This window comes from Homo sapiens, chromosome 7, assembly GCF_000001405.40.
Source record: "Homo sapiens chromosome 7, GRCh38.p14 Primary Assembly".
Taxonomy (NCBI): domain Eukaryota; kingdom Metazoa; phylum Chordata; class Mammalia; order Primates; family Hominidae; genus Homo; species Homo sapiens.
In genome coordinates this window covers 116,623,470-116,646,934 of record NC_000007.14, presented here as the reverse complement: position 1 = coordinate 116,646,934, position 23,465 = coordinate 116,623,470, and the positions used below count along the sequence as shown (strand labels likewise).

The 23,465-nt window shown below is 39.2% G+C and overlaps 1 long non-coding RNA gene across 2 annotated transcripts in view, besides 3 other annotated features; it reads left to right on the top strand.

Annotated features, from left to right (window-relative positions):
• COMETT (cytosolic oncogenic antisense to MET transcript) overlaps nucleotides 1–23,465 on the top strand; it is a 124,434-nt gene that overhangs the window by 41,093 nt on the left and 59,876 nt on the right. The gene's annotated exons all lie outside the window — the stretch shown is intronic.
• Nucleotides 12,297–13,496: an enhancer, noted in NCBI's record as "P300/CBP strongly-dependent group 1 enhancer chr7:116273493-116274692 (GRCh37/hg19 assembly coordinates)". NCBI's record gives its function as "activates an origin of replication core promoter dependent on BRD2, BRD4, P300/CBP, MED14 and CDK7 cofactors, with strong dependence on P300/CBP, by STARR-seq in HCT116 cells {active_cell/tissue: HCT116}" and the evidence as "EXISTENCE:reporter gene assay evidence [ECO:0000049][PMID:35650434]".
• Nucleotides 14,574–14,774: a silencer, noted in NCBI's record as "peak6696 fragment used in MPRA reporter construct". NCBI's record gives its function as "represses an SCP1 promoter by STARR-seq MPRAs in K562 erythroleukemia cells {active_cell/tissue: K562}" and the evidence as "EXISTENCE:reporter gene assay evidence [ECO:0000049][PMID:32103011]".
• Nucleotides 16,405–16,524: an enhancer, noted in NCBI's record as "active region_26537". NCBI's record gives its function as "activates an Ori minimal core promoter by ATAC-STARR-seq in GM12878 lymphoblastoid cells {active_cell/tissue: GM12878}" and the evidence as "EXISTENCE:reporter gene assay evidence [ECO:0000049][PMID:35858748]".

The following is a 23,465-nucleotide window of genomic DNA, read 5'->3' as shown; positions in this document are numbered from 1 at the left end:
AATCAACCTCTAGAACTTCCTAAGCAAATCCAATTCTATTTTAGTATTAGAAATGTCTTAGTTAAAAGCAAAGCCTATCTGGATACTTATTGCAGCATTCTTTCTGTTCCATTAATGTCAGTGGTTTACAAATATTTTTATGTTATACTTAGTCTATCATAAAATAAGAAATAATTACATTAGATACTTTTCAATCTAAAGAGATAGGGAATTATAATAGCTAGGCAGCTGAATTTTAATGAAGTGTGGCATATTATAACAGCTGCCTCATTAATTACCTGTGTCAGAAGAATATTCTTTCTGTACCTTTAAGAGGAATATAGACCTCTATTGATAACACAGTTCTCCCTTCATGGTTTAGTCATGTTATGTATCAAATCATATCTCCAGTCACTTAAACTCCATATAAAGATATTTAATATTACACAAATCAGCTGTAAAAAATATAAAAGGATATGTATATATTATATACATGTAGAGACAGAATCTTACTACGTTGCCCAGGCTAGATTTGAGCTGCTAGACTCGAGAAATCCTCCTGTCTCATTCTCCTGAGTACTTGTGAGTACAGGCGTGTGCTTCTACGCCTGGCTTCCAAAGACTTCTCAGCAGTACCCATCCTGATGTAGGTCACATTAAAAAGTCAACTTCAAAATTGCATTATTGATTTTTTTTACTATGTCAAAAGGTAATATTTATTGCAGATTTTCACAAGGTGAATTAAATTTATAATCTAGTTTTAAACATCTATGGAAAATAATTTCAGGAAACAGAAAAATTTTATTAATACTATACCTTAATAGGGGTATTGTACAGAAATGCCTCAATTAATGGGAATATTTGGTTAATATCTATTTTGTTTATTTTTTCTTTTTAACTTAATAAATGTTTCATTTTCAATTCTTACTGAAAATCTTTAAAAAATGTATTCATAGTCTTTACTGTCACAGCACATACAGAATGTCCATTAATCTTCCTTTGGCCAATGAGAATTTCTAGTGTCTCAGATTGATTTGTCTGAATGTCAATAACCATTGTACACTCAGAGATTGGGATGAATGTGTATGACATTAGCACATAACCAGATAATTGATTATTTGAACAAATCCTCGATAAAAACTTTCTCAAGATGTGCTTCTTTTCCCTTGTCTTCAAAATAGAGTTTTAGCAATGGTTTGGGATCAGAAAGGTTGAACTGGGGGCTCTAGCTAGTTAGATATTTGTTTAGTATAATTTTACTATATTCTTGAGGACATTTCAGTGAGTATAGAAGAGTGGATTGTTGAGGCCTAGTCCATCAGCTAGCAGCGATTTGCTCGACGGTGTGTAGCTCATAGGTGGGGAATAGGTAGGTGGAAGTGACCTTTATATAGAGGTAGACATTCAGTGAGGGTCATCTGTTTAGCATTCCAACACTGTCACAACCTCTGGCTTGACTTTGGAAGCAGGTCAAATATGGTAGGACTGCTCTAACCAAGAAATCTAACCAGGTGGACAGTGGTTGGTCGGTTTTGGAAGACTTTTGTATAGTGGTGCTTGGGACTGGAGGATTCAACCTGGGGAAGGAAGGATAGAAGGAGACGTGAGGGCCCGTTGGTATTAGCTGGTTTTATACCAGGGTCCCAGTTCTAAAGAGGGACTGGAAAATTAATAGGATCCCTGAACAAGATATGAACTACACAGCAGGAAATCAAAGCAGAGACTCCCTCTAAACATGATGAAAGGAGATGATGATGGATGAATCTATCTCTTGCTCCAATACAGAAATGTTGGAAAGTGTATCCATTTTTAATAGCAAGCAGCCAAACTTGAAAGAAGGAAAGTAAAAATTCCTGGTACCAGAAATAAAGAAAGAACAAAAGACCAGATCTGCAAGTGGAAGTTACAGCCATAGAGGCTCACAGAACTTTCCCAATCAGGCTGATTTGAGGGTTGGGATGGAGTCCAGATCAGAGACAGGAGATGAAGCCTTAGATCTGTGTGAGGTAGACGCTGGGACAGTCTGCTACACAAACGGGGCCCTTATAGGAAATGGGACTACAGAAACTCTACCCTCTGGGGCAGGCCCAGGGTAGGTTGGATAAAGAAATCTGCGAGGAACTGGAAACCTAAGTCAGCACCGAGCAGGTGTGAGTCCTGAATTTACACCACTCCTGGGGTGCAGGAATCCCACACTGAGAAATTAACACCAATGCTGCACTGGAACTTATAAACCTCACAGGCCCCGGAAGAAACAAGAGTGGAACAGCACTGAAAGGATTGTTCCAAAACACAGAGAACCGTGGAATTAAAAAAAAAATTAGAAAACAAAACTCCACAAGGGAGAGAGAGCAGCTGCAGCCACCAGGAGAATTTGTACCCCCAAAACTGGGGATTATAGGATAATCTGAAACATAATAGGCACATTTAAAAGGCTTAAGGAGATAAAGAATAAAAACTATAATAAAAAAATAAACAGAGTAGTATGGGGAGAAAGCTTAGTTATAAAGCACATATAGTAAGTGAAATGAAAACTCAACAACAATGTTAAATAGCAGATAGCTCCAGCCAACGAGAGGGTTAGTGATTTGGGAGCAATTCTGAAAAAAAAAATCAATCAAAATATAGCATATAAAAATAAGGAGATATAAAGAAGTGATGAAGAGAGGTAGAGGATAGAATAGGAAGGTTCAGCCTCGGACTTCCAGAAGCATAAAACTGAGATAATGAGAAAGACCTTGTATGGTTACAAACTTCCTAGACCCCAAGCAAGACAGGAGTCTTCAGTTTGACAGAATATACTGTATGATCTGAGTGAGATAAATGGAAACAAATCCAAACCAAGCTTCCTCCAAAAGAAACAGAAAAATCTTAAAAGCTATCAGAGGGAAATGGAAGATAACCTAAAGGGAATGACAATTTGAGAGCAATTTTTTCACTCAAAAACTAGATGTCAGGAAACAATGGAATGCATTTTTAAATGTCGTAGTAAAACAACCATGAATTTAGAACTTGATAATAGGTTAAAGCATCATTCAATAGACAGAAGTTGCTAAAAGAGTAAATTTTAAGTGTTTTTGCCACAAAAAAATGATACATTATGTGAGGGGATGGATTTATTAATTACTGTGACTTAATCATTCCACATTGTAAACATATATCAAAACGTCACATTTTACCCATAAAAATATACAACTATTATTTGTTAATTAAAAACAAAAGTAAAAAGGCTGGTCATGGTGGCTCACACCTGTAATCCCAGCACTTTGGGAGGCTGAGGTGGGCAGATCACTTGAGGTCAGGAGTTTGAGACCAGCCTGGCCAACATGGTGAAACCCCATCTCTTGTAAAAATACAAAAATTAGCCAGGCATGGTGGTGCGCACCTGTAATCCCAGCTACTTGGGAGGCTGAGGCAGGAAAATCGCTTGAACCTGGGAGGCAGAGGTTACAGTGAGCCGAGATTGCACCATTGCACTCCAGCCTAGGTGACAGAGTGAGACTCCGTCTCAAAAAAAAAAAACAAAACAAAAATTAAAAATAGAATAAAAAAAGTTGGGGCCAGGTGCAGTGACTCACACATGTAATCTTAGCACTTTGGGAGGCACTTCAGCCCAGGAGCTCAAGACCTGCCTGGCAACATGGCAAAACCCCATCTCTACTAAAAATATGGAAAAAAAAATAGCAGGTGTGGTGCTGTACACCTGTACTACTTCGGAGGCTGAGGTGGGAGGATCACCTGAATCCCAGAGTTCAAGTGGCTTAAAACAACACACATTTATTATCTGACAATTCTGCAGTGAGCTGTGATTGTGCCACTGCACTCCAGCCTGGATGACAGAGGGAGATCCTGTCTCAAAAAATATAAATAAATAAATGATAAAATAAAATAAAAGTTGGGACACATTGCATTATTAGCCCCAAATTCTCCACCCCTTTTATGGGAGAACTGTGAAGTGCCATGCAATAACTCCCACAAAAATGGGTGGCGTGTTTTTCTCCACCTCTTGATTCTGGATTCAGCCACATGACTTACCATGGCCAATAGAATGAAGTGGAAATGACAGTGTGTCAATTTCAAACCTAAATCTTGAGGGTGAGTTTTCACTTGCTCTCCTGTTCTGATGCCATGGCCATGGGAAGAACATGCCTAGGTCACCCCACTGGTCCCACGAAGAGGGTGAGAGACATGAAGAGCAGAGCCATCCCCAGCTGAACATGGAGGAGATCAGCTGACCCACAGATCCAGATCCATGAGAGGAAATATTGTTTCTCAAGTCCTGGAGTTTTGCATGCATTCTTGTATTAGTTTCCTATTACTACTGTAACAGATAACCACAATTTTAGTGGCTTAAACCAACACACATTTATTCTCTTACAATTCTGGAGGCCAGAAGTCTGAAGTCAGTCACCCAGGGTGAAAATCAAGGCATTGGTAGGGCATATTTTTCTGGACGGTCTGGGGAAGAATTTGTTTGTTTGACTTTTCTAGCATCTGGGGACTGAACCCTTTCTTGTATCACTCCAATCTTAGGCTTCCACTGTCACATCTACTTCTGTAGTCCAATGTCTCCCTACCTCTCTTATAAGAACACTTGTGATTACACTTAAAGCTTACTTGGATAATCCAGGATAATCTCCTCATCTCAAAACCCTTGACTTAATCACACCTTCACAGTTCCCTTTGCCAAGTAAATGAACATTCACAGGTTCCAGGGATTAGGATGTGGACATCTTGGGAAGGGGACATTATTCAGCTGACCACACTTGGTAGGTAAAGTTTTATTTATTTATTTAAACAACAATAATTTTAGAAAAAAGAGAATCAAATTCCAATAGCATTACTAGGCACAGATCAGTATTAAAAGAACTACTAAAGGATGAAGTTAATAGATAGCATGAATATAGTGATTAAACACATGGATTGCTTAGCTGGACTGCTTTGATTTAAATATAAGCTCTGCTATTTTCTATCTGTGTGACATTGATCAGGTTACTTATCTCTCTGTGACTTAGTTTCTTCATCTGCAAAATGGGTATAATCATAATAGTAACTGCCTCATGGGTACCTTAAAAGGATTAGATAAATTAATATCAGTAAAGTGTCTGAACATTTATAAGGCACATGGTAACTCCTATATTTAAAATAATAAAATATATTAAGATATATTTTATTATTATACATAATTTATTATTTATTTAAATATTTAATTTAATTTTAAATATAGTTTATGTTTTTCATTTTATATTTTTATTCTGATGTAGTTTATTTTATTTTATTATTTTTTTGAGACAGAGTCTCTGTTGCCCAGGTTGGAATGCAGTGGCACCATCTCGGTTCACTGCAACTTCCTCCTCCCAGGTTCAAGCGATTCTCAGCCTCCCTAGTAGCTGGGATTACAGGCACCTGCCACCATGACTGGCTAAATTTTTGTATTTTCAGTAGAGACCTGGTTTCACCATGTTGGCCATGCTGGTCTTGAACTCCTGACTTCAAGTGATCATCCTGCCTCCGCCTCCCAAAGTGCTGGGATTATAGGTGTGAGCCACTGTACTCGGCCTATTTTGCTATATTTTAAATAAAGAGCCAACAACCCAGAACAAAGGATGGGATAGATGCATCATTTCACTCCCAACTAAATTACCAAAATTTAATGTATCTGGCAAGTGCTGGAGATATGGTTGGGAAATGGTAACTCTCATGAAATGAGAATAGTTGTGTAAATGGATACTACTCTAAAGCAATTTGGTAACATCTATCTGAATTGAAGTTAAGCTGATTTTACTAGGTAGCAGTTGGGATATATACTCAAGCAACCCCTTGACAAATCTGCTTAGGGATGAGCACATTTTATTTTATTTTTGAGACAGTTTCACTCTGTCACCCAGAATGGAGTGCAGTGGCACAATCATGGCTCACTGCAGCATCTACCTGCTAGGCTCAAGCCATCCTCCTGCCTTGGGCTTCTGAGTAGCTGAGACCACCATTAGCTTGGCTAATGCTTGGCTAATTTTTAAATTTTTTGTATAGACAAGATTTTGCTATGTTGCCCATGCTGGTCTCAAACTTCTGGGCTCAAGTGATCCTCCTGTCTTAGCCTCCCAAAGTGTTGGGATTACAGATGTGTGCTATGGCGCCGGTCAACATTTTATAATAGTGTTAATACTAGTGGCCTTGTCTTAGGTTGAGTTCCTTAGGAGCAGAGTCTGAGATGATTCTGGTGTATACCACTTACTGACAATACACTTTTCTGGAGAAACCTGTAAGGATCCTGCTGAGGGAAGAGGATTTGGATGAGAAATGCCAAGCAAGAGTATGGTCTCAGGTGAAGAAGCCTTATTTTGGATGGATCCATGAGAAACTTTGGAATATAAATCCCATTCAAGGGTTTCTTCCTTGAGGCAAGGAGTCTTTTTGTATCTCATACCAGTCAGTCACTCACAATGGATTGTAGGTTTCCTAAGGTGTGTATGTGGGGTGGAGAGGTGTCATGTCCAGGGCAAAGAAGCTCCTGCCAGCCAAGGGCAATGTCTGGATAAAGGGGCAGCTGTGAGCTGTCAGCAGCCAGCACTCAGAGTGACTGCTGGTGGATGCTCTGTCTGGGTAAAAGAGATCTAGGTGGGGCATTTCTAAAAACGATAACACAACAAAGTCTAATGCTCAGCAATAGGAGACTGGGTTAAAAAACATGGTAAAATTCATATGTGTACAATCCTACATAGAAGTTTAAATGAACACATTAGATTTACATGTGTTACACAGGTAAATCTTGAAAGCATAATGGTGAACTTTTAGCAAGTGCAGGAATGGTATATACAAGTGTTATCATTGTGTATATTCATAACACAACAAAAGGATATTTATCAACTGTGGGTGGGTGCACAATATATAGTAAAGATATTAACATGTGAATTCACACTGACTTCATTAGGATAGTGGTTACCTTTTAGAATAAGGAAATAGTAATGGGAGGGATACAAAGAGGACTTTGAGTATATCTGTAATATTTTATTAAGTATGGCACAATGTTAATATTTTGTTAGGCCATAAATTGAGCACATTTTAAAAATTATCCTCTATATTTCTGTATATTTGAAATATTTTATATAAAAGAAACAAAGAAAGGAAAGAAAGAAAGAAAAAAGAAAGAAAGAAAAAGAAAGAAAGAAAAAGAAATAAAGAAAGAAAGAAAAACTCAAGGAAGATAACCAGTTCTCTGAGCTGTGCCAATACGAAATTGGATTGGGTGAGTATAACTGAGGTCCTCGTATATACATAATTCTGATTCCTGGTCAAAAGGTCTGGTTGTTTATCAAAAACCTTGTGCGCACTAGGAAGTTATGTTTGGGCCTCTAATCATATTTTGGCTCTGAGAACATTAAATAAGGAACTAGAAAGGTCCAGACTTAAATAGTCAATCAGTGAATCTAGATTCAGGGAGAAAAAAAGGAGAAAGTAAAACGAGACGGAAGCTTAATAACAAAATCTCGAATAGGGAAGTTTAACAAATATTTATTGAGTTCTTAATATGCTTCATACAATGTGTTAGGCTGAGGAGTCAATGATGAATGACACTGTCCTATCTTTTTTTTTTTTCTTTTTTTTTCAAGCATCTGTTTAACAAAGCACATCTTGCACCGCCCTTAATCCATTTAACCCTGAGTTGACACAGCACATGTTTCAGAGAGCACGGGGTTGGGGGTAAGGTTATATAGATTAACAGCATCCCAAGGCAGAAGAATTTTTCTCAGTATAGAACAAAATGGAGTCTCCTATGTCTACTTCTTTCTGCACAGACACAGTAACAATCTGATCTCTTTCTTTTCCCCACATTTCCCCCTTTTCTTTTCAACAAAACCGCCATCGGCATCATGGCCCATTCTCAATGGTCGCTGTCTCTTTGGAGCTGTTGGGTACAACTGCAGAAAAGCTGTCACTTCACACTTGGAAGATTGCACAGCGGCCAGGCAGAGGCGCTCCTCACTTCCCAGACAGGGCCTGGGCAGAGGCGCTCCTCACTTTCCAGACAGGGTGGCGGCCGGGCAGAGGCGCTCCTCACATCCCAGACGATGGGCGGCCGGGCAGAGGTGCTCCTCACTTCCCAGACGGGGCGGCCGGGCAGAGGCGCTCCTCACTTCCTAGACGGGGTGGCGTCCGGGCAGAGGCGCTCCTCACTTCCTAGACAGGGTGGCGGCCGGGCAGAGGCGCTCCTCACCTCCCAGACGAAGGGCGGCGGGGCAGAGGCGCTCCTCACATCCCAGACGATGGGCGGCCGGGCAGAGGTGCTCCTCACTTCCCAGACTGGGCAGCCGGGCAGAGGGGCTCCTCACCTCCCAGACGATGGGTGGCCGGGCAGAGATGCTCCTCACTTCCTAGACAGGGTGGCGGCCGGGCAGAGGCTGTAATCTCAGCACTTTGGGAGGCCAAAGCAGGTGGCTGGGAGGTGGAGTTTGTAGCTAGCCGAGATCACGCCACTGCACTTCAGCGTGGGCAACATTGAGCATTGAGTGAGCGAGACTCCGTCTGCAATCCCAGCGCCTCGGGAGGCCGAGGCAGGCAGATCACTCGAGGTCAGGAGCTGGAGACCAGCCCGGCCAACACGGCGAAACCCGGTCTCCACCAAAAATACAAAAACCAGTCAGGCGTGGCGGCGCGTGCCTGCAATCCCAGGCACTCGGCAGGCCGAGGCAGGAGAATCACAGGAGCCTGAGGCAGGGAGGTTGCAGCGAGCCGAGATCACGGCAGTACAGTGCAGCCTCGGCAACAGAGGGAGACCGTCAAAAGAAAGAGAGAGGGAGACGGAGGGAGGGAGGGAGGGAGGGAGGGGGGGGGGAGAGAGAGAGAGAGAGAGAGAGAGAGAGAGAGAGAGAGAGAGAGAGAGAGAGAGAGAGAGACTGTCCTATCTTTAAGGAGCTGAGCATCAAGCGGAAATCTTATGAGAGAGGAGAGCCTAAAGAACTTGGGGACACATTTTCATTAGAGGCCAATAAATATATCTGTGGCAAGAACCTCTTGTTTCTGATTCAAAAAGCTCCAAATGATTTCTGTGGAACTCAAATCCCCCAAGATGTTCTGTGAAAAGGGGGTTTTATAGTCAAACATGTTACAAAATGCTTTATGCCATATTTCAGTCTTAAAGATTCATAGACAATTAATATATAAAAATTACCAAGGTGATTTACAGAAAAGAAACCTATAAGGAAGCCACATCTTTCCAAAGTATTTGCTATTAAAATGAATTTGGGAAGAGAGAAGGAGTAATGCCTTTAACAGTCCTTTAGTATTTTGTGAAATTCATTTCTTCCTCTGTACTGTATTTACATTATTATTTTTCCTAACTTCAAGTATTTCTAAAATATTTTTTGTTTTCTTAATTAAATCTTCATTTTAGTGTTTCTACTTAGGTGTTTAAATTCCAACATTGTGCTTAAAATAGGAGTACAGTTATTTTACTGAAGAGGTTTAGCAGTGTTTTGTTTGACTTTGTAGGAAGAATTAATACCATGAGGTTTTAGACAAGTCATTTTAGCTCTCCAAAATAACAGTAAGGGGAAGCATTTGTGCTTGGCATATAGACCGTTGCACTTTTTACAATCTGATTTTATGGTACCCCTTTTTTCATGTCTAGCATAACGCTCCATCTTCAGGCTTTTGAACAAACGTGTCAGTAGCCTTAAATCAAGCTACCATGCTAAAATACATTACTGTGTCAGAGCGATTTGCAACTATTCATTTAATTGCATCCTATAAAATGAACCAGGAGGTGTAAGTTTACAAACATAACATCTGAGGTGCTGGTAAGATTAGAGCTACATAACACATGTAGTTTAAATTCTCAATATAAAGTCAGGAAGGGCTGTAATTTTAATATACTGCTGACAAGGGGCATCTGAGAATTAATGGGCATTCCCAATAGATATTTTCAGCATTAAAGGACATAATATAGCTTCAGTTTCATATATAATGCTTACTCCCTTACATATATATATATATTCATCTTTTGCCAGAGCATTAGAATATTCAACTAGTATATTGTCTCAATTAAGGAAATAATAAAATACTTTACTCATTAGGGTCATTCTTGGCCCCATGACTGTTTATTTACTATGTGGTTGAAGTTTCTTTGTTTTTGATTACTCTAACCCCCTCCTCCCAGAAGTTTCAATGAAGTTAATGAGATATGGCATGGCTAATTAAATATGAAGCCAACTTTCATTCAATGAAATATTTTGTTACTTGTTTTTTTAGTTGTACAATTATCTGTTTTCATAGGTCTTTCAAGCTAGTAAAAATTTCTCTTGTATGTGTGTGACCTTGAGACTGCCATTTATAAGCTGGATGACCTTGTTTTAATTTAACCTTTTAGTGTCTCTGTTTCCTTGTCTGTAAATCAGGGATGCTAATATAGCTATTGTGGCTATTCAGTTAATTTAATATATGTAAAGTATTTAAAATACATGAAAGTGCATGGCACATAGAAGCACACCATAGGGATTAGTTATTATTGTTATTAAATATTTGATTATACACTAGAAAGACTATAAATTATTAGCAATATACAATTTCTTCCATCAAAAAATCTACAATCTCAGTTAAGCATGATCAGATACATTAGCCTAACAAAAACAAAAAGTTAGATCTTATCCATAGTTGTCTATTTGGCTCTTTTTTATAGTAAGGTTTATATAAAGAAATTGGGTAGGTGTTTAAGTTGGAGGGGAGGGAGAAGTGATTGTTGGATAGGGAGTACAGGTGCTGAAAAATGCTCCATCTTTCAGTTGGCTTTAAAATCCGTGTGCTAATTTTCAGTTTGTATCAAGAGCATGAGGCAGGGCGTGGTGGCTCAACACCTGTAATCTCCTCACTTTTGGAGGACAAGGTGGGCAGATCACTTAAGGCCAGGAGATTGAGACCAGCCTGGTCAACATGACGAAACCTCATCTCTACTAAAAATACAAGAATTAGCCAGGCATGGTGGCATATGCCTGTTATCCCAGCTACTTGGGAGGCTTGAAAATTGCTTGAACGCAGGAGGTGGAGGTTGCTGTGAGCCAAAATTACACCGCTGCACTCCAGCCTGGGCGATAGAGCAAAACCCTGTCTCAAGAGCACGAGAACCCACTTACTTACCACCCAAACTCACCTCACCTATCTAATTTTATGACTTAGCCCTGTTTCCATCTCTCCTTAACAGACTTTCCCTGATTCTTCTTTACTCCCCACCTGCAGGTGGATCAGTAGGCAAAATCAGCAAGTGTTGTAAGGTCAATGAGGGTGGTGATCCAGGCAAGGGCTGCGTGAGTGGTATGTTAGGGCCAGAGTGGAGCGGGGAGAAAAGAGGTTGCTCTCTTTCCATACCCCCGTTTAAATTTATTAATTTTTAATTTTTAATTAATTAATTAATTTGAGACAGTGTCTTGCTCTGTTGCCCACGTTGGAGGGCAATGACTCCAGCTCAGCTCACTGTGACCTCTGCCTCCCAGGTTCTGGCGATTCTCATGCTTCAGCCTCCCAAGTAGCTGGGATTACAAGCTTAGGCTACCGCGCGGGACTAACTTTTTGTATTTTTAGTGGAGACGGGGTTTTGCTATGTTGACGAGGCTTGTTTCGAACCCCTGTGCTCAAGTGATCCACCCATCTTGGCCTCCCAAAGTGCTGGGATTACAAGCATGAGCCACTGCTAAAATTAGATAGGTGAGGTGAGTTTGGGTGGTAAGTAAGTGGGTTCTCGTGCTCTTGAGACAGGGTCTCGCTCTATCACGCCTGGACTCATATCCCCAATTAAATCACTGAACTTATCAAAATGTTTCTTCATATATTTTATAGTGATCTTAAATATATAACTTTTTTTGTGTGTATTTTCCAAGGCCTTACTCTTAGGGGGAAAAAAGGCAGAGAAATTACATAACTTTGCTTGCTAAACTTTAAAATACATTAATTAAGTAGAACTATCATTCAGAAAAGTAGAGAAATGAGTAGAAATAGCAATGGCTATTTAAAAGAAGTGTAGAAAAGCTTCCTGAATTAGGAAATGGGTTGCAATGTTCAAAAATATAAAGTGAGCCATAAAAACTTTTCTTCTATATATTAGAACACATGTTCTTTCACTAAGCTGGGAAAGATGAACTACAAGTAGATTTCCACAATAGTACGTATTGGGATATATTACATGTCAAACTGTGTCTCTACCATCATAAATACTGATATATTAACTTCAGGCCACTGTTCAAGGCACAGTGCGAGTGTAGGAGGGAGCCTGGGACACAGATGAAAGGGCTGAAAAGATAAGCTGTCCTGATCCTTACATTTGCTTTCCACCTTCCATTCTAAACTCATGGAGGCAACCAGGGAAGGGCAGGAGGTATACATACTAGAAGGTAGAAAATCAAGGTGAGATTTGGAGGACCTGGTCTTAAACTCTTAAATAAAATATATTAGGATATTTAGGCTGTTTAGCAGTTTGATCAGTTAACTAAGTAATTGTAGTGACATAAGTTACCAGTTTTGAGGACAGGTTAGGGAAGTTGTTGAGTGTGCACATACACATGTGCAATATTAGAGACATATTTTGCATTTAAAGGGGAAAGTATACATTAGCAAAAATATAAATCATGGAGAAATACACAAGCTATGCTATCAGCATAAGCAACACTGACCTAGATTCTTATTTTATTCTTCATATCCCAACAGCTGACATGAACACAAAATCCTATTCAAGGTCATTGGAAACTTTGAACTTGAGTTGGCTCTGGGAGGACATTAGAAAATGCAGTAATTGCCCCCTGAGTTCCAAAAATTTAGTAAGATTCAAAACTGATAAGTATTTTTTTAAAAATAAAATCTCAACTTATTATATCCTACCATTGGGCTATCCCAAAATTCATTTTTTATAAATTGAAACAGTGACTTTACAAAAAAGAATGGAACAAAGAGGCCGCAAGTAAGAGTTTGCTCTTTAAAATCCTTGAGAAGCTAATTTCCATGCCGAAGATAATGTTTCAAAGAGATTTCTTTTCAATGTGTTTTCTTAGGAGGGCAAGATTTCAAAGAAAATTAGCAAAGCAAGGTGACTGTGATGCTGCCATCTGGAGTTTTCAATTAGCATTTCTGACTAATAAAGTTTGGCAAAATTACTCACAAATATTTCCAGAGTTGAGAAATAATCTTGCGGCACTTTCTGTTCTTATTTTTAGGACATCAAGGCGTGTAAAATAACACAAAGAGGTTTGCAAAGTCCAGCTGAAGGGAGCCGGAGCGTCCTGTTTTTACCATCACGCTTCGTTGTTCACGTTGCTTGTGTGTAAAACAGGGTACAGTATTTAGAAACGGTGAAGGAAATGACTGGCCTAAAACTCTTGTGATTCAGTGACTCAAGGATGATTGACACTGTGTAAAAACAGGCACATTAGACCAAGAGATAATTTGAAACCTTATTATTGGGTATTGTTTTTAAAAATTAAACCTATAGACATGAATAAAATGAAAAACTTTATAAGCACAGCTTGTGGAACTGAAAAGGGCCTTAGAGACCATCACTTCCAACGGCCTCATTTTACAGGAGAGAAATCTGAGGACCAGGGAAACCAAGTGACTTTTCTGGGGTCACATGGAATGTCAACAGCAGAGCTGTGAAGGCGTTCAGGTCTGCTAACCTCCCGGCTATGCTCATTCATGGAGAGTGCTTCGAAGAGTGTTTGCAACATTTAGTCACAGTTTATCTTTGGTTAATTCCACATTTACTCCTATTTTTAATGTGTGTGAAAATGGCCCAGATTCATATGATTTGTTGCAGGTCAAACAGATATTAAGAAAAACTGCCAAGCTTGCACCGCTTATGTATAGTTATTTGTTGTGTATGTGCAAGTGTTTGTATGTGTGTGAGCACATAAGCATAATCTCTTTATCTACCATTCCTACATCCAAAAAGCTCTGAAAATTAAACTTTTTCATAAATTTGTGACAAATTCCAGTGGTGCAAAATCAAATCTAGTGTGAACTTATGTGAAGATATTTATAGACTTCACCTACACCAGCCAGTGTAACCCCTTATAGATTTCATTTTAGAAATAGTAATCTGTCTGATTATAGGGTACTACCCTAGATTATCTGAATATGATATGTAACATATGATACTTAACATAGGTTCTATATAATTGATTACATTTTAAAATCCTGAATAATTCTGAATTCTGTTCCCAGTAGTTTTGGATAAGTAATCGTAGACCTTCAATTAGTCCATAATGTAATTTCATTACATTAGTTTAGGCAGTTTTGGCTTATAACCATGCAACTCAGAAAATTCTTTACATATGTGATTCCCTTGGTTTCAAAATATGTGAAACCAGGGGGATTAAATGAGATAAACAAAGTGCTGTCTATGTGGTTATAAATATATAAAAATGAGGAGCTTAGTTTCATCACTACTATTTGTGGTCAGGAAGCCCAGGGTAAATTCAGTGTTTAGTTGTGACAAGTGCCTCATTCCAAGTTTCTGATAAAATCATCTGTCTCCTTTTCCTTTTCCTCCCCCTTTTTTGTAACTTTTACTTTATAGCCTTCTTTTATGTTTTTTTAAATTCTAAGCTGTATCAAATGTTAGCACATATGTGGGGAATGAATTAAAGATTTTCTACCACAAGTCTCACAGTAACTCTGTGTTCTGTTATTTAATCCATGGTGAAATTGAGGACTAATCAGTCAACTAATGTTTATAGTTTACAGTTCAGAATGTGTATGCTGAGTAGGCTAAGTAGGTTAGAGTTTACATGGATTTGGCCAAATTTGACATGATATATTCTTTCTTTTTATTGTAACCCTTATATTTAACCAAAGTCTAGATAAATGCAATGTCCTTATAATCTGTGTTCAGTCTCAACAACATCGACTGCTGAGCCCCACAGCACTGGATTTAGTCCCAGCTGGAGTTCCAGCTTGAAGGGCAAACTCATAACAGGGCCAGGTCTTTCCTTGTTTATAGGAAACTTCACCAATTGAAAATTTTGATCTGTCATATACTGTCAGGATAAATACACACACACACACACACACACACACACACACATATATATATACACACACACACACACACACACACACACCGCAGATGGGTGAGAATTGAACATCTTGAATTTTTCATTGTCCCTAGTCAGGATACTAAGAGTATATTTTGTAGATAAAAGTCATCCTTTTTGGTGTGCATTAGTCCCATCATAATATCACATGTGTTCCTAGTTATGTAAATTCAATTTTCAGATAATCAAGTTAAATGTAAGACATTTGCTTATTGCAATATATGCAGATCTCAGTGGAGGAGGGTGTTCCCTTCTTTTGTCAATAGTCCCTATAATATGGCAGTTACTTGGATTGTATTATTTAAAGGGCATGCATGATGTAATCCAACCCTGTCTTTTTACCACCAGATCAAACAGAAAATAGTAGGATCTAATGGAAAGATACAGGACTAAGAATCAGGTCTCATCTGGCTCTGTGACCTCAGACAAGCCAAAGCTTCTCTGGGCCCCGGTTTCTTCTTTTACAAAATGAAAGGGCTGTATTAGACTACCTTTAAACCTTGTTCAGCTCTAGAATGTTACAATTCTATGAGAATGACCATTAATAAGCTCATAGTCTGTTTTGGATCTTCACTGGGAGGAGAGCTCTAAGTATGGGACAGCTTTTCTTTGCTGGAGAATACACTTTTAAGCTTGAGACTCTGAAATGACTGGTGGAAAAGGGAGAGGCTTGCACCGGTTCAAGAGAGCCTTCTTTTCCCTAAGGACACGTGCTGTAGTCTTCTGACTGTTTAATGACGCAAGGGGAGGGGCGCGTCACAGCAGCTGAGCCTGTGGCTCTGACTTGGCAACTGACTCACTGGCGTCCTGGCTTCTGAACCTTGGAAGAGCCCATAGAAGCGGTAGTGCTGAGTCCAAGAGTATAGAGAAGTGGGCGGAGTGGACACTACCTGCTTTGTGGCAGAGCAAGCTCAGGTCTAGGAGAGGTGGTAACGGTGAGGCAGTGAGCATGGAGTCAGGTAAAAGAGGACCTTGTGAAGGAAGAGGATAATAAGCTTTGCATAAGCAATGCATGGAAAATGGACCCTGAATGATTAGACAGTAGACGCCTTTAAGGAAAAACTCATTTTGTGGATTACCTCAGATGTAATGGATATTCTTTACATCATACATAAAGATGAACTGTTTGATCTGTTTATCTACTACAGTCAGAGCACTAAGGTTTACTGAGTACTGTTGGCATATACTGTGGAAAGTGCTCTATATTCATTAGGTCTTTTAATCACATAACCATAGGAAGTAGGAATCATTATTCCCATTTTACAGATAAAGAGTCCGAGGTTTAGGTGACTTACATAATGCCCAATGACACACAGTGTTTCTTCTCTCCTGTGGAGACAGTTTGAATTCACTTTGGCTAAGTGAAACTGAAGGTAGCAGTCAGTGAAACCTGTCTCTTCATATGAGTGAAACCGAAGGTAGCAGCCAGTCAAATCTGGCTCTTTAGATATAGAGAGAAATTTAAATAATTTTTTAAAAAGTTTAACTCTCTCAGCTATGCTTGACTTCAGTACTCTGGTCTTACTAGGAACTGAACATTTTTATTTTAGTAGTCAGTCACTAAACATTGATTGTTTCTCCCCCTTTTCATTTCTGCTTAAGAATTCTAATCTACTCCCAAGGCAAATGGATACCTTTGGCCAATCAAAGAGAAGGTCAAGTAAAATGAAGTGTGCAATAAAGAAGCACATAAATATATTTCAGAAAAAAATGTAAGTTACAGTTTCTACTGTTGCTGGTCTTTGCTTTCGTCTGCCTTTTAACCCTTTCATGGCACGGTTATGAAGTCTCTTAGTTATCAAACTATGATCTTCAGGTCAAATCTGGCCATCTTATTTTGTATGGCCCATGAGCTAAGAATAATTTTTACAAATAAATATTTGCAATTTATTTGATGATAGGGAACTCTAACTTTTTTTTTTTTTGAGACAGGGTTTCACTCTGTCACCCAGGCTGTTGCCATGGTGTGATCATGGCTCACTGTAGCCTTGACCTCTTGGTGCTCAGGTGATCCTCCCAACTCAGCCTCCAGAATAGCTGGGACTGTAGGTGTGTGCTCCCACACCCAGCTAATTTTTCTATTTTTTATAGAGATAAGGTTTTGTCATGTTTCTCAGGCTGGTCTCAAACTCCTGGGCTCAAGCCATCCACCCAGCTTGGCCCTGCAAAGTGCTGGGGCTACAGGCGTGAACCACTGGGCCCAGTTAGAACTGTAACTTTAAACTCCTGATTAAGTGAATTTCATTCTTTTCATTAGTAGACCTGTATTCCAAAAGAATTGTACCGAATTGTTATAATCACTATATTTTGAATTTTACCAATAAAAATGTTGTGAAAATATATTTTCTTTCTTTTTATGTAAGTGTCTATGTACTATCCTTGATTTTGCTTCTTGGTCCACAAAGTCTAAAATATTAACCATCTGGCCCTTTAAAGAAAAAGTCTGTTGACCTCTCTCCTAAGGCATGAGGCTACAGTAAGAGATTTCTCTGTGCAAAAACATGCCCTGAAGAGGCAAACTCGGTAAGGTGAACAGAGGATACTTCCCTTCTCTTCCAATAATTGGCAAGAAACAGCCTTTGTTCCCAGAGAAATTTTAGAGAAACATGAAAACAAAACAGGTTTCAAAAGTCTCTATGCTTTTTTACCTTTCTTTAAACAACTTTCTTCTAAAAAACCTAACCAGGATTGTACAGACAGACATTCACTGGGCCGGTGCTCACACTATGCTAAGGAAGTTAATGTGTGCCCAGGCTAAATCATAGTTAGAAACAAATGCAGCCAGCCAAGTCAGGCATGATTCACGTCACTTAAGTACAAATAGCTTAAAGGGCACCTGAACTAATTCACAACTAATTAAACTCTTACATTTATTATCATCTAAATCTAAAACTTAGGTGATCTCTTTGGTGGGCTGTGATTTTTTCCTAATCACTATTAATATTTTTGACTTCAGTTAGCAATCATAATACTAGATGTACTTACTTTGATTTTTTAGAAATAACTCATATTTCCTTTCATTACTCCAAATGGTGAAATGTGTTTTGTTTTCACTTTTCACATCATACATTGATCCATTTAATATATAGGTTAGTATTTAATTGTGATAATAATTGGTCTTTACTTGATGAAGTAAATTTTTTTGTTTATCCCTTTTAGGTATCATTATAATTGTTTCATGGTTAATATTGTATGGGTTGGTGGCACTGGTTTGGTGCATAAATAATAATGGAATTACTTCATCTTTAAGTTTTTGAGATTTTTACTTAGTAAATACTTGTAAAAGTTTGATTTTTTTTTCCTGCTGGGATACTTATAAACCGTTTGTGATTTATATTTCATTTTTGCTTTTTATCATTTTACTTTCTGAACATCTGTTTGATTATAACAATAATGCTATAATACCATGTCAGTCACTCCAGATTTGGCTAGTGCTCTAATGCAGGTTGGGGATGCTTCCAATACTGCAGAGAATCTCCGTTAGAGGCGTGTCAGTGGATAAAGTTGTTAAGCCTGCTCTGACATTTCCCAAGAGCTCCTCAAGGTTCTGTGCTCCCAACCTACAGAGACTACAGTTTTGATCCAAGGGGAAAAATTGACTTAACTGGTACATTTACATTTTTATGATTGTGTCTCTAAAGCTTATTACCTTAATAATTCCTCCCATATGCCCACTGCTTTTCAGAGTCAGTGCAATGCCTATATTTTGTAATCAAGTTTTCCCTTTTAGATGCCTGTCATTTTTCATGGAATTCTGAAGCCTTCTACATTAGAGGAAGATTATGCATGAAAGGAACTGAGCACAGAGCATGACACATAATAAATGCTCATTAAATGGTAGCTGTTATTGCTTGACTTTATTTTGATTAAAATCCCTAGGTAGTTTTATAGAAATTTGTGGTACTATTTTTACATTGAAATTCAAAAGCCTGGTTATAAGACTAAATGCCTATGGTTGAGAAAATGCTATATTTCTTAGAACACCTGACTAGAGAAGTCACTAATATCACCCTAAGCACAAAAGAGAGAATTGTACTGATCACTGTATTGTAAGTCCTTTGTGGAGATATTCTTGACTGGGTCTATTCTATAACAAAAATAGGTTATTTTCAAAAAGCTACTTGATTAGAATACCTATTTTTGGTCCCAAAGTTCAGCTGCTGTGATACTGTGCATTTACGCTGCATGGGTTACTGTGTATTTATGCAGTATTAATTTTAAGGCATCTCTGTGGTGTTCCTGAAAGCTGCACAGAAAGGCCCAGAAGGAGGGGCATGCTTATTCTACATGAGAGAAACTTTTCTTAAATATTGGCCAACTATTGTGAAGTCAGGACTGGAATCCCTAAAAGCCAGAATCTCAGTTAACTTCTGTAAACCATGAGTTCCCTTGCCCTTTCATCAACGTCTGGACTGTAGTTACAATGTTTTAAAAAATCACAAATTATATCACAATTTAAAAAATGTATCCTGATTAATAACACTATTTCATTAACGAAGTTACAAGGTCAAATACAAAGTTACTTCCAAGGAGTATAAAGGGTTTGATGATCTCATCATTATCCTTATGGTATTGTTGTAGGACTTTGTCCTTAGTTGAGCTAAAGATGGGGTCCTTGTCACATGGCCATGAAATATTAGGCTCACAGACACTTTGAAGGGTGAGAAAAATGGAATTTATTGGGGGAAAAGGAAAAAAAAAGAGGAAACAGGGACCCTCAGCAGAGCGAGAGTCCTGCTAGTATATGCTTCCCGCCTCGGAGATCGAATCTGAGGCTCCACCCAGGAAGAGGAGGGGACACGCTCCTCCCGGCTGCAAACAGCTCATGCTTCTGTGGCTCCACCGCAGTAGGCACTCCTCCCAGTGCACAGACCGGTTGGAGTTTTTCCAGGAACCCCTTTACACTTGGCTGTCTCACTATCAAATGCCCTAGCAGATCAAACCCAAAGAATATTTGCTAAATTCATCTATTTTGGTAAATACTTGCTTCTCTTACTTTGTCTTCCAAATGTGGTATGGCTGTGTTTGAGTCCAGGGAATACCCAGCCAGGTAGTCCTCAAGAAAAAGTCCAGCGTAGTCCTCAACAAAAATATATCCAACAGGATCAGTTTTGTCTAGGTCCACAAGAAAAGCCCACAATCAGAGTAATTTACATGAAAATAAAAAAGAATGAATGGCCATAAACATCATCAGGAAAGTGCCATTGGAAATTCCCTTTGAGATAAGATTTTCGTTAGCCCAGCGATGATCCTGTTCAGTGAACAAGTGCTCTTCTGATCTTTTTGGCAACTCATAAACTGTTACAAGAACAAATAATACATGGGTGGCTTCGCACCCATCCCTGCCACATTACTGAATGCAAATTAGCTCAAGGCCTGTGGATTTCATATATTTCTCAAACCGTGTTTTCCTTTGGGAAGTCATTTTGTTCATTGAGGCAAGCACAGGACACCATTTATTCATTTAGCAAATACTTAGTTTGCTCTGTGTCAGACGCTGTGGTAATGGTTAAGACTACAGCAGTAAATAAGTCAGACAAAAATCCCTGTTTTCATGGAGTTTACACTCTAACTGGGGAGAGAACCAACCGTGTGATAAGTGCTATGATTGGGGAGGTGCGGGTTATCCTATGACCAAATTTGTAATTGAAAAAAGGATGTGAGTGGCTGATGACTGGATCCACATGTTGGGTGGCTTGCTCTTATGGGCACTGAATTTTCCTAAGGTTGTGTTTCTGCATGTGGATGGAGATAGACTGCCCAAGAGTTTGGTGAAAAGGGAGAAGTAATGGGAGGTTGGTAGATGATAGGAACCAGAAGAGGTAGCAAAACGCCACCGGTGTCATAAGAGCAGAGGAGGTTCCCAAGGACACTGACAGCACCTCCCAGCTCAGGTTGAGAGGGTGTATGGAGAAAGCTCTGCTCTTTTTTTCATTTTTCTTTTTTTTTTAGAGACAGAGTCTCACTCTGTTGCCCAGGATGGAGTACAGTGGTGTGATCATAGCTCACTGTAGCCTTGAACTTTTGGGCTCAAGGAGTCCTCCTGTTTCAGTCTCCCAAGTAGCTGAGACTACTTGTGTGCACCACTGCAGCTGGCTAGAAAGATGGTTTTTTGGGCAGGTTAGGAGTAAGAAGGAGTGTTTAGTGAGGAGGTTGGTAAAGTTTGTTAACCATTGAGAGGTGTCCCAAGGGGCCACCCATTGAAAGCATGGGAGGGAGAAGAGCAGTGGAAAGTTGGGTCAGTGGAGAAGCAGCAAAGAATATTTTGGGGTAAGTGTGCTGGGGTGGCAGATGACTAGAAGGGCTTACATCTTGAAGTGGGACTAAGGTTTGCAGGAATATAAGGCACAAGGACATGCAGACCTCTGGAATCACTGGGGAGTCTGTTGAATCGCACTTTTGAGGGACACTTAGCCTTATTTGGGGGACTCTCACTTCTTTAAAGGGTCAGCCAAGGACTGGATGAATTGTCTGTAGGCACCGTGCATGGCTAGCAGCCTCATCCATCTTACTTCATGTGATAAGGACTTTGAGAGCATTGAGGTTCCTCCATGATAGTGTGAAGGGTGGGGATGAAAGTTCATCAAATAATGTCTAAGCCTTGCTGATGCGGTGAAGTTCAATCTGAAAAGACCACCACGGCTTATGCTTTTCTTATTGTGCCTTTCTTCAAACTGGTTTAGGGGAATTTTACTAAATCACTTCAAGATTCTCTAAAAGAGTGATCTATTAAGAAATAATTAAGGGTGTAGGGGAGAGTCAGTAAAGCAAACACTGGGGAGAAGGAAGATATGGATAAAAAGCTGTGAAGGGAATAGGAAAATACTGGCAAAATCACCAGAAAGCTTGGAGAGTAGTAAGCAAACTGCAGGCTACTGTGATCAGTCATCTCCTGTGAAAAAGCACTTAAGGGTCTTCACATTGGTATCAAACTCCGGAGGAAACGGAGGATTAGGGCAAATCTGTTTAGTCCCAAAGCCTCCACACCCCTCCCCAACACTGCCTTTCAGGTTCATGTACCACATTTTGCACTGTCTTTAGAACATCCCTGGGAGTGCTGTCGGCACAAGCAGAATTTCTCAGGATTGCTTCAGTCTCTGTGTCCTGAGCTGAATTTTTTATGTTTCCATCCTTTCTTTCTTAGGTTTTTGTGAAAGGGAAGAAAGCATTCCCTGATACTCAATTGCTAGTGCCAATATTGGCATGTTGAGGTGAATGAAATCCTCCCTGGCACCGCTTTGCCCCTCCCCTCACCCCAGGACTTGACTTGGCCTTTCGGTGGTCTGCAAACCTCTCATCCAGCAGCCATGGGTGTGGCAGGCTACAAAGAAGTGACTGGATTTCCTGGGCAATTGTTTAAGGTATATGCATACTTACCAGTCAGCACATATTTTCTGGGCACAGTATTGATACTACTACTAATAGTGGTAATTACTTCTTACATGCTCCATGTGCAAGATGCTGTTCTAAGCATTTTACTACAATATAAGGCATATGAGGATAGTGCTTTTTGCCTGTTTTATTCACTGTTGTATCCCAAGTACTTAGAACTGTGCCTGGTACGCAGAGGCAATCAATAAATATTTTTTGAGTGAAATTATTTATTAACTTGTCACCACAATCATCTTATGTAGGTACTATTATTATCTCCATTTTACAGATGAGAAAACTGAGTGTTTCAGTGATTTGCTATGATTGCACAGCTAAAAAGTAGCAGAGTCAAGTTTTGAACCAGTGGGACAGTTGTTTTGCAAAAATGGCAAAGCAGTTTACATAATAATAACGAAAACAAATTTGTCTGAATGCAAAATGAAATGCACTTGGATAACCTCACTTTTGGATAACTGAGGATTGAATCATTTACCATATTCTTGGCACATACGAAGTTAACAAATAGCTGTAGTTGTTATTTTTTCTTTGTAAGTAACTTACATTTTCTACACTAACATCTTATGAATTGTTAGCTATTTTTTGGCCCTTAAGAACACACCTCATTTTGTTGGTCCAGATGGCATTTCTTGAGGCTGCCAAAAAAAAAAAACCACAAACAACGTAAAAATATTAACATCTAAATTTTAAGGGAAAAATAATAGCTCTTCTTCTGAAAACCAATAATTCAAATTCTGGAAGCCTAAAAATGTCAATCATCAGCAACATCACTTATTGGTCATCAGAGAGCTGTGTCCTTTTAAGGTATCATATTCCAAAACACGCACTTGATTTCCAAAAATGTAGAGAGTGAGAAATTCTATGATTTTCCATATTTAGAAAATTCCAAAAAGTACATCCCAGCAGATGTTATAAGTAGCATTTAAAAGATGAAGTAATTAAATGGTCCTTCTTTGTAGCAGAAATTAAAGATGAGTTTACTATGATCTTAGAAAGATGAAAGACTGGCAACTCCTTTCTGGCATC